At 37.2% G+C, this 16,430-nt stretch overlaps 2 long non-coding RNA genes across 3 annotated transcripts in view; one reads left to right on the top strand and one right to left on the bottom strand.

Annotated features, from left to right (window-relative positions):
• LOC101928570 (uncharacterized) overlaps positions 1–16,430 on the top strand; it is a 248,816-nt gene that overhangs the window by 212,345 nt on the left and 20,041 nt on the right. The gene's annotated exons all lie outside the window — the stretch shown is intronic.
• LOC105377862 (uncharacterized) overlaps positions 7,347–16,430 on the bottom strand; it is a 322,839-nt gene continuing 313,755 nt past the window's right edge. The window contains exon 4 of the long non-coding RNA NR_187980.1: positions 7,347–7,560. This is a non-coding gene — a long non-coding RNA (uncharacterized LOC105377862). The remainder of the gene's footprint in view (positions 7,561–16,430) is intronic.

Raw genomic sequence — 16,430 nt, 5'->3', positions numbered from 1 at the left:
TACTGACTTGTAACCTTAAACTGGAAAATATTTGGTGTAGAAAACTGCATTTGTATGAATGTTTGCTGAAGGAAACTATTCACTTAAAGTTGTAAACTGTCTTTGTCACAGAGGTTAAGTTTGCCTACCGGTCTTGATAATTAGCTCATTATGACCTAACTAAAATTGTTCCAATTAACTATATTGGTATAAAAGAACTGTGCAGAAACTGTTAACATTAGGGATATTAGCTGAAGGCAAATTCTTCCTGATAAAAATGTATTTTACAAGTAAAAATAATGTGATTAACTGTTCCAGTAAAAAAAACATGGTGCATTCAAGGGAGGATAGTTGAGAAATTTGAATGGAGAGGCAAATTACCAAAGAAGTGAACAGGATTAGGGAAAACTAACCAAAGATGGTGAAGCTCTCTGGTGCTGGAAGGGAGCACTTACTTGACTATTTCAGAATGATTAAGAAATGAGAGCAGTTACAAGCATTCAGAAAGTAGTTGTAGCTGTGTGTAGTGCTACTCATAGGAGCTAAGGTTTTTGGTAGATACATTCAGCTTATCATGTAGGCTTATCATGAAAAAAGATGGTGAAATAAATATCCTAACACTCTTCCAGCTCTCTGATCTTCTGCTGGTGACTTCCACAAACCCAATCCAACAAGAAGCTAGAGGGCAAGATATCATATTGATTCATCAGGAAAGGTCTGCATCCCAGGGCACAGACTTGGCACAGGAGGTGGAGAGCAGATATGGAGCAGCAGTTCAAAGTCTTTTACTCCTGTCCCTCCATAGCCACACTTATCCTTTGCCCAGATTAAAAATCTCACTTCAGGGAGTATGCAAGTCTTATCAGCTACAATGTCATCATGAGGTGAAGTCAATTCAGTAAAAAAATCACACCTAAGACGTAGTCAATGAGCAAAAATGGATGGAGGAACTAATTAACACAATTCACTGTTGCTATAGGTCCCACTTATGTAGGTGGTCAAAATGCTTTAACAAGAACAGCTTCACTCTTCCACACCCATGCCATGTTCTCTTTATGTTCTGTTTGCTAGTATCATAGTTGGACAAGCTGGGGAGACCGAATATTTTATTGCTATATGATCTGAGTCCTTGCTTCTCTTTCTTTATTGGGTCACTGCAGTTCTTCACTAAGAAAAAGAGTCCTAAGAAAGTCATTCAAGTTAATTTCCATGGCTGGTGACCCTCTCTCTGCCTGTTGGTTCAGTGGCAGGAACATCCTACTCACAAATTACCAAGAGAAATCATCAAATTTCAAATTAATACAATAAGTATGATTCCTGGTGGAAACAATTCCTTCCTTGTACACCCTCCAAATGAACCAAGCCCTGAATTTCAGGAAGGGGAAGTTTCAAAAAATGAATCTCTTATATGGGATCTACTGCTACCTATAACGGAGGCTGCTAGTTTAAGAAATCCACCCTTTTCTATAGGATAGTGCCCCAACTGTACAGGGTGTTCTCTCCCATCTGGTTCTTTAAGTGAACATTCATATTGTTATTCCACCACTCTATCTGGTAACTTCTTTTGGGTGATGGCACACATGTAAGTCTTTATTTCACAGGTGGGAACCCTCTAAACACTTTATTTGCCATAAATGAATTCTCTATTTGGGGCAATTTTGTATTGGTATAAAACTTTTCCATGGAAATAAAAAAGAATGTTGTAAATTGTATTAGTCAGGGTTCTCTAGGGGGACAGATGGGAGTTTATTTAGTATTAACTTCCATAATCACAAGGTCCCACAATAGGCTGTCTGAAAGCTGAGGAGCAAGAAGAGCCAGTCTGAGTCCCCAGACTGAAGAACTTGGAGTCTGATGTTCAAGGGCGGGAAGCATCCATCACGAGAGAAAGATGTAGGCTGGGAGGCTAGACCGGTCTCTCCTTTTCACATTTTTCTGTCTGCTTTATATTCACTGGCAGCTGATTAGATTGTGCCTACCAGATTAAGGGTGGATCTGCCTTCCCCAGCCCAATGACTCAGATGTTGATCTTTTTCTGGCAACACCCTCACAGACACACCCAGGATCAATACTTTGTATTCTTCAGTCCAATCAAGTTGACACTCAGTATTAACCATCACATAAGTCAATAAATTCTGACATTAGCAGAAGTGTTGTGAGCAGTGAAGGTAAGTCAGTATCTACTTCTTTAATTCTTTTAGCTCATAAGCTATCTGCTTCTGGGCCAAGTCTTGTACCTCTGCATCTGCCTATATTTAACTCTTCCCAATTCTCACTATAAGCCTGGGAGCAATGAGGTCCTAAGGAAAAAACCATCTCTTTGTGAGGCAGTTGTGAAATCATTGAAAGGCCTTCATCTGGTAGAAAACATGTTCTCTCAGCTTAGAGCAGCAGGAAAGAGACTTCACTCACAGTAAGAAAGAATTTTGGAATACAGCGTTCTTAACTTTCCTTGGGTATATTCATCTATCCCTGTCTCACACTTCAGGCTCCATTTCTTCCCCTCTAGTGTCTTTACCTTATTATAAAAGACTTGGCATTGTTCTTCAGGTGATTGTAGCTGAAATTATACCTTTACAATCAGACCCTAAACTTCAGCCTCAACTATGTCTATCCTTGGGCTATAGAAAATAAACCACTCCTTCAAACCTAGCATATATATATATATATATATATATATATATATATATATATATATATATATATATTTGCTAGGTTTAGCGCATATATATATATTAGCATACATATATTAGCATATGTATATATATATTAGCATATATATATATATTTGCTATTCTACCCATGTTCTGAATTAGGCATTCAGGTTATTAGTTTGTCATTTTTTTCTCTGTATAATTTCTAGATCCATCAAAAGCAGCAATCCATTGCAATAATTTGTTTTAGTGACTGCTGTTGCAATAGTGACTAAGAATCACAGCTACTTGCTCTACCAATGTCTGCCCTTCCACTTGTACATCATATCAAACCACTACCTGTGATAATCCATGATAATCTGTGATATCTCACTTTATGCTAAGTATTAACACTTTCTTATTTTCCCCTGGCAAGGGAGTTATCCATGTACTTCTCAAATATGTGCACAGTCAAAGCTGGGCTTCCAATCTTTGCAAGGGAAAGCCTTGACAGTGCCAACCCAAGACCTGGAAGGAAGGAAATCTAGCCTCTTTTTCTGAACCTGCTCTTTTCCTGACTTCCAAATTTATGCTTGTGATTTTAATGGCCCAGATCCAAATTGAAGTTGTGTGGCAAGGAGCCTGTTGATGTAGTTTATATGTCTGGAACATATAGCAAAGTAAGATCGAGTAGAGCAGATATAAGAACTAGGCAAACAGAATATTCAGCACATTTGCAGAATACTTTAAAAAACAATGCAAAATCTTCATTGGAAATGATGGTTATAGGAGTTAAACTCAGGTTGTTTGACTATGTCAATCTTTTTCTCATTGCCTATGTTGTAAATACCCATTTTGATAACTTTCCTACCTCATTCTCAAATCTCACTGCAGACCTTTAAAATGAAATAATTAAATAACCACTAAGCAGGACAAGATGAGCTAGAAGTCAGCAATATCGTAGCTTTCTCTAGTTCTCAGCATTCACTATCAAATCCATCTTGTATATTTTGCATACCATATTTAACTCAGGAATATAAATGGAGATAAAAATAAAAGACAGTGTGAGTAGCTTCTTAAAAAGGAGATGGCATAGGAAAGTGGATAGACTTCTATTCTCATTAGCACTTTTCTGATCCTGTGAGATTTGGGAATTATCATCCATTTGAAGCTATTAAAATTGTCAAATAATACCTTGCTAAATAAATAACTCAGTGTTTTTCTCTCCAACCCCCTGGAATTCCTGATGCATCCAATTCCCCTGAGAAGCCTGAGTTGGCATCCAGGCCTCCACATGTGATTTGTAGGCCTTGATGGAACAGGTGTGGGCAGAATTGAATCTTTAAACATGTTAACTGTTTATGCTCATCTCATTTGTCCCTTCACAATGGAAATTTGAGAAGCGGTGATCCACCATTTCTCTATGTGTCCCACTTCTCTGTGTTCTCGACTCTTCCTTTGTTATCACTAGACAGATGTTTTTATATGCTCAGCATTAAAACTTTGATGAACTTCTCTGAAATGCTACTTTAGGGATATATACTGAATATATTATTAGTATTATATACCACTAGATGATGAAAAAAATCTAGATTCTCCATTGCTCTGTTATTAAGAGCAACAAAAAAACATGAGTTCTTTGCAAATAAAGTCCTCAGCAAAATAATTTTGTAGCTCTTCATGAACTTATAATGTTAAATTATTAAAAGCCTTCTTAAGGATTTTGTACTTGAATTCACTAATAAAAAAGGGCTTGCAAGCAATAGAGTGACAGCACTATTTTATACTTTAATATACACAAACATATATGTATGTATATATATATATATGTGTATCTATATTTAAAATAAAGTCCATTTTACCTCTTGAAGATTTCTTTTTCTACTTAGTATGGAGATTGACCAAGAACCTTATCATTGACCCATGTCAACCCTACAAAGCCTATCCACTGATTTCATGCTCACTCCCAGCTGTGTGGCTGTGCTATTATTTTTGTTTTCCTCTCCTGCCTACACATTTAGATTGTACTCATCCTTGTCTTTGTGTATCAGAATATTCCATTTCTTTCAAAATACCTCAAATCCTTCCCCATGAAACTTTTCCAAAGGCTTCATCTCCTTCTGAAGTGGAAGTTTTTATATTATTGTTGCAGAACTTTCTCCTTAGTTCAGCAAAAACCGGGCTCTTGTCACACAGCTAGGAAAGATTAGGCTAACAGACACCTAGAAGCATGAGGAAAATAGAAGTTACTGGGCGTAAAGGAAATAGAAAAAATAACTTTCAGCAAAGTGAGAGAGAGGTCTGCTAGCAGATTTCCAGCCTCACAGACTGAAGCCCAGGTCATCACACAGGAACAGGAGAGGCTAGGCTTCTCCCCACTGCAAACAGCATGAACTTCCCAAGCTCCGCACTGTCCAGTGCACAGGTGGGCATTATTCAGAAAGAATCAGTCAGGAAAGGGCAGGCATTATCTGGGACCAGAAATCCAGCTTTTCAGCCTTCAGGGTGTTTTAGGCTTGAAGGCAGGGTTTCGCCAGGGACCCTTGGCTGTCTCCTGTCTCTATCATTCCCCCCTCTGAAAAGTACACCTGATTGCCATTAGAATAAAGATAAGGAAAAGGATGAAGACTGATCTTAACTGCTTCCTGCTGACAGGTAGCACTGTTTTGGGAAAAGAGCAGTCAGATCTCCCTTAGAGGCCTATCTAAGGGTTCCCAGCAAAAGGAACAATTGAACCAGGCTCCGGTTGCATGACCATTTGGAGATTGATGGCCAGAAGGCAAGAAGAGACAAACTGGGTTATTAGAAAACAAGTCTTAAAACAAAACAAGGTGGTGGGGGAGGTTAATGACAGCTCAAAAATCCCAAGACTTTTTACTAATTTGCATGGGTAGAGGAAGCCCAAAAGTGTGGTTGGAAAAAAAAAAAAAAACTTTTACTGTTCTTTAGGCATGCCAGTCTTCTGGTTTCCCTTTCCTTGAGCCCAGTCCTAAGCCAACCAGTCTAAGGTTTGGCAAATTAACTCTTTCCAGTTTGGAGGATGCATCCTAGGGGAGTGTGCTGTAGTATAAAGACATAATTACCTATCCATGAAGGAGGACAGAGGAGAAAAAAGGGGGAAAAAGGCATTTTTTTTCAAAGGAGTCCCGGGGTGCAGGATGAATTCAAAAGGTGTACATACTGAAGACAAATGGCTACTCATCTAGAAAGAGAGGAGCAGGCCTCCCTGGTTCCCTTCTTTTCCTAGCAAATACCCGGGGTACATGAGGGAGAGAAATCAAGGCATCTCTCATTCTTTATTCCGTCCTTGTATCTCTGAGTCCTAATAACTGTGACAAGGTGCCACCCAGTAGTGTCAAAATGATGTTAACAGGGGGTTTAGGTGGTAAGAATATCTGCTCTTACCCACATATGCCCTATCTCCCCTGCTCAGTACCTTTGAATTCCCTGGACCTCATTTATGCCATGGTTACTAGCATGATCTTTATCCATGAAATGGGAAACTTGGCTTAATTGACAGGAATCAGTTATGCTCACCTGCACTATGCCTTTTAACTCTCATTATCATCTACCTCTGAATCTCTCAGATCCAGTTTTTTGGATGCAAAGCTTGGAATTAAGTTTGAGACAAAAAAATGTGTTTCAGGGATTGCAAGAACTCCTTATCATAAACCAAACGCTAAGGTGAAGCTGTGGAATTGAGTCCTCCTCCAACAGGGGAGAGAAAAAGATGTCTTGTGACATGCCCAGATAACTGGTGGCTATAGTTATACTTGCTAAGATTTTGGTGCATGGGGCTTGGCTTTCGTTGGCTCCCTTGGTCTTACTTTTGCAAAAAGGCATCCTCCAGGTGATGGGCATCCTATTTATTCCCATTACCCAGCAGGATTTGCAGGACAATTGCTCAGAACCAGAATAATTGATCCAGAGTTTTATATCACCCATCCCTTTTTTTCCTTCTGAGCTGCAGTCAGAGATTGCTGGTTGGTTCACAGGAAAAAGCAGGGTTAGTCTAATGTGGGCAAAAGCTTAAAAACAGCTAATGAGTCTAGAATCAAATGACAAATGTATAATACATTTTGAAACATAATTTCTCTCTCTCCAGTCCTCATTCTGTTAAAAAAATCATAATAGGACTGAATGTTTGCAAAATAAATTTTAGTCTTATAATTGACCTGATTATTTGTGTAAAGTGCAGCAGGAATAATTATTTATACATAAGCCTTTTAGATTGGCTTGGATGAAACTCTGTTCCACAAGGAATCTCAGATAAGACCATTTAAATCCAAGCCCAGCCATGGGTTTGTAGCCTCAAATACCTGTGAGTTGCATAATCCTCTCCTATTAAGGTCCCAAAATAAACTTGGAGCTCCTGTGCCTGTCAGAAAGTGACACTCTTTACTAACCCTAGGTCAGGAACCCTGTACAAGACCGCATAGACAAGAGTATGATGCCAGTTTTCTCAAAGACTTTTTATCAGCTCTGCAAGTCGAAATTGACTCCTTAAAGGGAGGCACTCCCTTCTAGTCAAAGCCCTGATAAAACAACCAGTTTCTCCAATTGTGCCCTGTTGCAAAACAAAATGGATCTTATTTCACTGATGCAAACAACTATATTGCTATAAGTTAAGAATACTCACAACTAGTTTCCAAATTCTGGAAAAGCCAGGCAGAGACAAATATGCTTCAAATTTTGTTCACAGGAGTATACATTACTCAATAATTAAAGGCCATAAATAGTTCAAAATAAATTTTATTGACTCTAAAAAACAAAACAAGAATCAGCAATATTCCAAACAAAAGTAAAAAAGATGGCTTCATTTTTCTGTGAGTTTAGTCCATTTAGTTAACTCTTGTTTAGCTTGATATTCGTGAACATTTAAGCTCTTCATGAGTCCTGTACATTTTTCCTTTATTCCAATGTCCCAATCTCCAAAGTTATCAGAAACCTGTATTTGAGAGCACGTGTCAGAGTTCTATGGCTGATTATAAACCATCTTTTGAAAAGGATCAAAACAAGGAAACAATTGTCTGTGAACAACAAAATGTCCAAGGCAGTTACAGTTAGAAACACAATTGACAAATAAGTTTGGTTATCTCTGTGGTTCACAATAACTTAGCATAACAACCTTAATTATGATTGATACCATATACTTTAGACATTAAAATTCTAGAAATCTCCTACAGTTTTAGAACATATATTAATATTATTCACCAAAATATAACCTAAAGAATATTGAACACCACTTTGGCAAGTCCATGTAACTAAACATGTCAAATAATCCTGTTTACCTCTCTTGTGAATACTACAGGGGCCCTCTGTAGCAGCCAAAGCTTGGCATCAGAAAAGACAATTTTGAAACTGAAGTTTGATTTTGGGAAGTCTGATAGATGTGTTAGAGGTTTAAAACACTTCATGTTATTAAATAGAATTTCAGATTACCATAAGTTATTTATTTTGCCAAAATGATGACTCAGAAATTTTAAAAAGCAAAAACCTTTTATAACCCCTTACAAATTTTGCTAAAAAGCAGATTAGCACCTTAAGAATACCTTGTTGTGCTTTTATTTCAATGCTCAATGTACAGAAAACCCCTACTGAATTTAGTCAATATGCTCATACGTGGAATTTATTTTGCAATATTAATTTTTACAATCTTTCCACCAGTTGTTTGAATTTATAGCTTTATCTTATCTAATTTAAAACAATTATTTAACCCTAGGCAAGAATTTATTTTTTTGCCTTTTAATAATCTTTTATTAAAAACAAATTTTACTGTTTTTACACACCTTGTATGTAAATATATTTCCAGCAGTTTCTATTACATGTTATAACGGCAACTCCTAGCAATTTTTAACTTTAATGTAAAGCCTGGTAAGTTGTTTTAATTGTGTTCTAGGTGCAGCCACGGTTTGAATGTTTGACTCCTTTAAGCATAATTAAGGGTGTGATTAGTTCCATATGTTCCCAGGTCTTACCAGTTGTTAGGCAGGAAGTCAAACAGTTCTCAAAAACCAAAAAAGTAGTTAATAACCCCAAAACATTTAGCAAACCTAGTACCTAACCTGCATAATTTAGTTCACCTATTTACATTTTGATGACCTCTGCATTTTACTAATAATTTTTAAGGCTGTTTTTATTTTTCAAAGATTAAAGTCACATGAACTATAAGGCACCGCAGCTTTTATCTTCCCTTAAAAAATATTTGGTCCAAGCACTTATTTTTCTTTATGCCAATTAATTACAGCTCTCTTTTATAGACATCACACACAACCCATATGTAACTACATAGACTGGCAGAAGAAAACCCAGTGGCTATAAGATTTTTCATTTGCTAATCTCCTAATTGGATTATTATCCTCTCATGCATACATTAAGAGTGGCAAGACAAGGTGGAGAAAAAGAATTCAGTCAACTGAAAAAGAATCAGTCAACTGGAAAAAACTTGTTCCAACAAAACAAGATCCCAGAAGAGAAAAACATAAAGGCCTTTTAAATATACCTATAACTTGAATATTTACTTGCAATTAAGCTGAACACTCTCTAAGAAAATCCTTTTAACTCTCTTACTACCCGACTTTAACTGAACCAGGAACCCAATATTTTTGTCTTTTAAACTTTACTAATGGTAACCTCACAGGTTAAACCAACAAGCCTCAATTAAGGTTATGATTTAACTGTGAGTATATGAGGTATTTCCAAGCGGTGTGAGCAGTTCTTACAAAATTTAGAACCTTTCAAGATAACCCAGAGAAAAGAAGATTTAAGAAAAAGGCTAGAAGTTGTTCATAGAGGTGAAGAGAATCAGCAAATGGCAATAGCTATACAGATATCAACCTAAAGTACTCATTCTCTAAGCCGGAATTGAACCTAGGTGCCATTGTAAAATGGTGGAGGCTAGAACAAAACATCGCCATGTGGTTTCAGATCATGGTAAAACAAGATGGAGGCCTGCAGCAAAGTTTGCTACTGAACATACAGAAAGTTAGGCAAAGCACACTGGATTTGCTTCAGTTTAAGACCAACCCCACAAATCCTTTTTCATAATTAAAATTTTACAGAGAATATAAACAGTGATAGCTGGGGTCCTGCCCTGTAAAATGTTTTCTAAAAAGAAAAAAAAAAGCCTCTCACATAAAAGTTAACTTCTGACAGGTAGAGAAAAGGAAAAAATAGTTAAAGTGCAGGGTTGGAAAGATGCCTGGAGGAAGAACCTCTAATTCTTATGCCAATGGGTTCCTAAACTTAAGAGGGGTTGCTGGGGAACCACCAGTTCACCAGTCCATCCTGAAAAGAGAATGAAATGGCCAACAATTCTGACCCCCAGGAGTAATGTGGTCTGGTGAGGCATAATTTTCTCCACCCTCAGAAAAAGGGTGAGGACAAAAACAGCTTAGAAGTCAAAGAAAAAAAGATGTTTTAGTTTATATGTTACCATCCTTCTTCAAGCCCCATGTCTGGATGCCAAAAGTATTGCAGAACTTTGTCCTTAGTTCAGCTAAAACAGGGCTTTTGTCACATGACCAGGAAAGGTTAGGCTCACAGACACATAGAAAGGTGAGGAAAATGGAATTTACTGCGTGAAAAGGGAAAAGAAAAAATAACTCTCAGCAAAGCAAGAGAGAGTCCTGTTAGGTTTCCTGCCTCACAGGTTGAATCCCAGTTCACAGCACAGGAACAGGAGGGGCCAGGCTCCTCTCCACTCCCCTCCCCCGCAAAACGGTGCAAACTTCCTGAACTCTACCCCCTCCTCCTAGTGTACAGGTGGGCATTATTCAGAAAGAATCAATTGGGAAAGGGCGGGTTTCATTTGCGACCAGCAGTCTGGTTTTTCAGCCTTCAGACTGTTTTAGGCTTGAAGGCAGGGTTTCACCTGGGACCCTTGGCTGTCTGCTGTCTCTCTGGACATTTTTCTGTGATTTAATTATCTGAGCCACACACCGTGGTATTTTATTAAATAATGATGCAAAGTAGTTTCATAAAATTTAGCAATTTTAAAAATCAGACTACAATTTAATGCTTAATTTAGTGTTTCCCAGCCTGGGAAGCCTTGAAAAGGAAAAAAAAAAAAAAAAAGTTGGAGATATTATTGCATGCGATTGGTACTATAGGGACTACAGCACATTACAATGAGCATCTCTGAAATGCATAAACTTTCTAAAGCATCTAAATCATCAATATAGAGCTACAGAGAAATAAGCAGGATAATCTAAAAATGACCCTGGGAACTTACTAGGGTTTTCTGGACAAGATAGCTTGGACTGTAAGGTCCAATTTTCCTCAGAGACAGGATATGCCCCCAGGTTCAGGCTTTCATCAAACTAATGACTCTATCCCTATGACAAGGCCTTGCAATATTCCACAGGCCTTCAGGTCTCTGGATGCTGGGCAGCCTATATTGCAGATAATGCCTACAAAGAGCTGGCACACTGATCCAGACTCTTCTGCTTTGACAGCCTCTAATCTCCTCATTGGCAAGTCTACTTTCCCCCAGCTGACCTTTAAAAAGGGGGAAAAGCTGGGAGGAGGAAATAGGTGTCCACACTGTAGGCGCTGTAGCATCTGGGTAGCAGCACTCACCTCTGGGGGACAATAAGGGAATTAAAGATTGTGTAACTGTATCATCCCTACGCTTGCTTATCCTTGGGTTTTGTAAAATTTCCAAACGAGGTCTACCCCTAAATCTTGCTGTATGACTTTGTGGCATTTGTCTAGAATTCCTTTTCGTGACAGGAAATCTAGAGGGAATCCACCATTTAGGACAGAAAATTAAAAAAAAAAGTTAAATGTACAGTTTATGTCGTAAAACCTGGTAAAAGCCTTACTCTGAGAGGAGCACCTTACAAATACCTTGTGTTTGTATGACAGAATGTTCTAAAAAGAAACTGATCCTCCAAACAAATTTATGGAGAAGTAGAGTAGATGATCACCTTTTTCCTGTCCTGGGCAGTATAACTTGTTCAGTGTTGCTGGACAAAGGGGTCTTGATCCAGACCCTGAGATAGGGTTCTTTGATCTTGCACAGGAAGGAATGCAAGGCAAGTCACAGAGTTCGGTGAGAAAGATAGTTTATTGAAAGCTACTCAGCTACAGAGTAGGGTGTTCTCAGAAAGCAAGAGGAGGAACACGTCATCTTTGTTTTAAACTCTTCTTACATAGGGGCCTCATCTGTGTAAAAGCTAAGCTAAATTAGCTCTACTTGTGGGTGAGCTGACAACATGACAAAATTTAGTACTTTGTTGATTTAAAGAAAGTTATATTTGGTATTATAGTGCCTAAGTACATCAGACATGACTATTACTATCTTAAAAGCATGTGTTGTTATGTGATATCAGGACATCTGAACATTCCACTGTCGTAGGAATTTGTCCTTGTGGGAAAGCATTACTAAACTGCTTCAGTAGTTGTAAACATCTCATGACCATTGCTCATGACTATCAAGGAATATGCTTTGCTAGTTTTAAGATGATGTTGATTTTAAAATGATGTTGCCCTGGCTCTCCTATGGTCCTTTTTCCCTAACAAAAGCATATGCATGCTCAGGTCACCACACTGCTGAAACCCTGTAAACGTCCCTCCTGCCTGGGTAAAATAAGTTTGAGTTTCTTAGCTTATGAGTGAGAGTTTCCATGATGTGGCCTTTGTCTATCATGGAAAAGATCCATGATACCCATGGTTTCCAAAACTTGCCATACTCTTCCACATTACCTTACCTTTGCAGAGGCTGATTCTCCTGCCTTAGCTAAGTTCCTTTTCAATGCCCTGACACTAATTACGGAATGCCAATTTCTTCGTAACAACTCTGTTACATTTGTATTTTGGTCCATATTTTTTCTATTTTATGTTGTCTTTTTAAAAATTATGTTTATTTCCCCCTACTAGATTGCTGCAAACTTTGGAGTTCATTGTTTTATGTACCTGCCATGTAGCATAAGGCCTGGACCATTGTAAATTCTCAGTAATGAATATTCAGTGTCATTAAATTGTATTACTATTATTTTTCCTTTGAAGGATGACATAGAAACTCTGCTGGACCAATATCCTAGCTGATAAAAGTCATAGTTGATACTTGAATTTGCCTTTTTACCTTAGCTCAAAGAAGTTCTGTCTACCATACTGATAATATGAATAGTAACAATAAAGTTATTCTTTAAAATTTTACTTTTAAAAGATGGAATTAGAACAAAAAAATTAAGAAAGGGTTTCCTTTTTAACTTGAGTCAGTCAATTTAACAGGTTTAACATTGAAAATCTTATAAAAATTCAATTTATTCTCTGGTGGATATTTTAAACTTCCATTTTTTTAATGACAAAGGATAGTATTACTGACATCTGAATGTACTTACTTACCCTTCCTAATGTTGTAAACAAATTTTTCTTAGAATTCTGACATTTTAATTAATCATTTAATCGGGAAATTAAAAAAACTAAATGTATATTTTAAAAGGAATATTTATATTACTGGTCCTTTAAGATAGTATTTTTTAAATTATTCTTTCATATTAGTCTAAAATACTCTCTAGTTTAAATAATTCTGGAAATTATACTATATCACCTTTTATAGATTCATCAAGCATATGAATAAAACAAAACAAAATAGAAGACCGAAATAAAACCATTAATTTGACTTAAGCCAAGATTTCCCAAACATGTTTGTCCACAGAACTTACTGTGGCATTACATCTATTAAAATCCTATTTGTATTTTTTTTAAATCATTATTATTTTGGTTTGTGGGGAAAGTTTGCTTAATGCCAAGGGGGTGAATATTGTTTCACATCAGGCTGGAGTGCCACATCTTATCCACAGGAGGTAACTAATGCCCCATCAAGGAATTCAAACTAAAGCACACAAAATCTCCCTCCCTTCACTTTTTAGATAGTTGGTCACAAAGTTGTATTTTTGAAAAACAATTTGTTTAACACTGATCAGGGAGTTTGTGACTTAAAAATAATAGCAAGAGCAAATTGTGGGTTGCTGATTAATCCAAATAAAATATTTCTGCCAAATTACTACTCAAGAGACAGATTCTAAAATTCTAATGTGAAATAGAATCAGTCTATGTCACAAATAAGGTGAAACATTCCTGTCAATAAATCCTAAAAGAAGAAACCTAAAATTAAATTGAGCTAAATTGAAAGAAATTTTATCTCAGGGAAAAATCCTGATGGAGTAAAGTCTGGAGGATTCCAGTGGGGAGAGGAGTGGAATGGATGGGGGGGAGCCTACCTATGAAACCCCAAGCCTAGCCCCCTAATGGTTGAAACCAGAGTGGGGATGAAGACGACGGTGATGAGGGATGGGAAGAGAACAATCAATATCAAACTGTATTGATCTGACTGAAATCTATTAATTGCACTGATGATTGTTCAGTTGGTCACTCTAATTCTCCCCTTATGGAAGTAACTACTTAGGACCCATTTTATGGCTGTGACAAAGAGTTTGTGCAATTTTGTGGAGTTTGCTATACTATACTTTACTGTAAAAGCCTAGTTGGGCTGCAGTGACTGGATAAACATATTTAGTGTAGAAGTTTTCCCTGATTAGCTTCAAATCTAAGGGAACTAAATTTAAGTCTGTGAGAGAAGTAACCATATACTTGAAGTGTTTCTCATGTAATTATAAACCTGTTGTCAGAGACACTATCTTACAATGTTGAGGCCTGTTTAGGAAGCACCCACTGATAAGAGCTCATCTACTGCTATACAGAATGAAAATGTAGTCTCATAGAATAAAAGCTACCTGAACCTCTTCATTTTTGTTAATACTTAATTTTTTCACTAAACCTTGTAAAGCTTCTAGAACTCCTGAAAACAACCAGAACAAGTTTGTTTCATTTACATTCTCAGATAAAATATTTTGGCCTCTTTAAAAAATTTTCCCTCTCAGTCAAGAGGATTTTGAACAAATCCACAAAGCAATGATATATTTTCAACACCTACAGAATTCCTAAGTGTTAAAATATTTTCTTTTTCTGATTCTCAGAGACTATTTTGAAAGTGCTATTATCTTAGTGGTGAATCAATATACTCAGTTATGAGAATCTCGTACATTTCCACAAGAATGCTCTGAAATAAAAATGAATTTGTTGGATGGAAAATTGGTGTTTTTTAATGAAGAATGAGATCACTGGCTTCTCAATGGTAGTATAAGGAACAATTCCACTTATGGTGCTGTTTTTCAAAGGGAATGCTTCCCTGCTATAGCAAAAAAAAATGTAGCAGAACAGGGGGTATGGCTGGGTTGATCTGGTTTACATCTCTCTAAAAATGCTTGAAGTATGCTCTTGGATCTCTGTAAAAATTTCCTTTAGAGATCCGAGATTGAAAAAGAAAAAGTAACTACAGCATAAGGAGGATGTTAACTAAAGGATGTTGTCATTATAAATAGGGTGGGGAGGGTAAAACTTATTGAAAAGGTGACATTTGAACAAAGGTTGGAAGAAGGTACAGGAGGCAACCACATTGATTCTGGGGGAAGAAAATTCCAGGCAGAGGAAACAGCTCTTACAAAGTCTCCAAGGAAGGAGCATGACTCAGGTATTAAGAAATAGCAAGGATGACTGGAACAGAATGAGCAAAGATGAGAATAATTGGAGATGGGGCTGGAGAGCAAAGGGAGTGGAGGTGGAGATCAAGTCAGGCCTTGTAAATCTCACAAGAACTTTGACTTTTATCCTGAGTGAAATAGAATGCCAATGGAGGATTTTGAACTGAGGAGCAAATGAGTTTTAAAAGGATCAGTTGGATTCTCTGTGAAGAACAGTAGGTAAGGACAAGAATGTAAGCAAATGACCATTAGGATGCTATTGAAACATTCAAGTGAAAAATAATGGTGGCTTAAAACAGAGTGGTAGCTGTGAAGATGGTGTGAAAGGGCCAGATTCTGGATATGTTTTGAAGGTAGAGACAAAAGGATTTCCAGAGAAATTGAACAAAGGGTGTGAGAGAAAGAGAATTGTTGATCATAATTCCAAGGTCTGTGGCCTGAGAAACTGAAATACTATTTGCATGGTGGAGTTTCATATTCCTGAATTCCCAATTAATGTGATATCCAATTAAGGAGGTTGTGCTTTGGTGACAACTAGCATGAACTGCTTTAATCCAATTTTGTAACAGTTTAGAAAACCTGATTCCAGTTGTATAATCTTTTGGTTAAATTTCACCCAAAGACCCAAAGCCAGTCTATAGCACCTAGAAAAATGACCCACTAACATCCTAATGTGACACCTGTAACTATAATATAGGTGTGCATATTTGCCAGAATCCATCTACACTAACACTGGGCTGAGTACACCATCCAGGAACGGCTAGAGCAGCATCTTGCTTTGACTGGTGTGCAGAGGTAGATAATTCTAAGAGCAAAACACTGGCTTTGGAATGAGGCCCAGGTAAGTTTGAATTTTAGTTCTGGCCCTTTAAACTCATCTTGAGGCTTTCATCTATAAGATAAGGCATATAATATTACTTCCTCTGTTTTTTTAAATTATCATTGAATGAGATGCATACATACTCTAATAACTGCTGATTCTCATTCTCTGCTCATCTTTCTCCTAACTTCTGATCCCTGATCATGTGCTAGTACTGGTAGTCTGGATGGTACTTGTATCATGTTTCACTGTCAGCCAAAAAACTCATTAAAGCCTGCATCCCTTTGTATTCCACTTAAACTGTTCTCTTTTGGGTGCCTTTTGTGAAGTACAAAAAGTCTTCTTACCTAGACTTAGTAAAAATCCTATTTTAAAAAGTAGGTTTTCTAGTTATGTTACCAAAGCTTTTCATTTTTGATTTTACTACCTTTATGGTTTATATAGTTGTTC

Source organism: Homo sapiens, chromosome 6 (genome assembly GCF_000001405.40).
Source record: "Homo sapiens chromosome 6, GRCh38.p14 Primary Assembly".
In the NCBI taxonomy this organism is placed as follows: Eukaryota; Metazoa; Chordata; class Mammalia; order Primates; family Hominidae; genus Homo; species Homo sapiens.
This window is presented reverse-complemented; position numbering and strand designations above follow the sequence as displayed.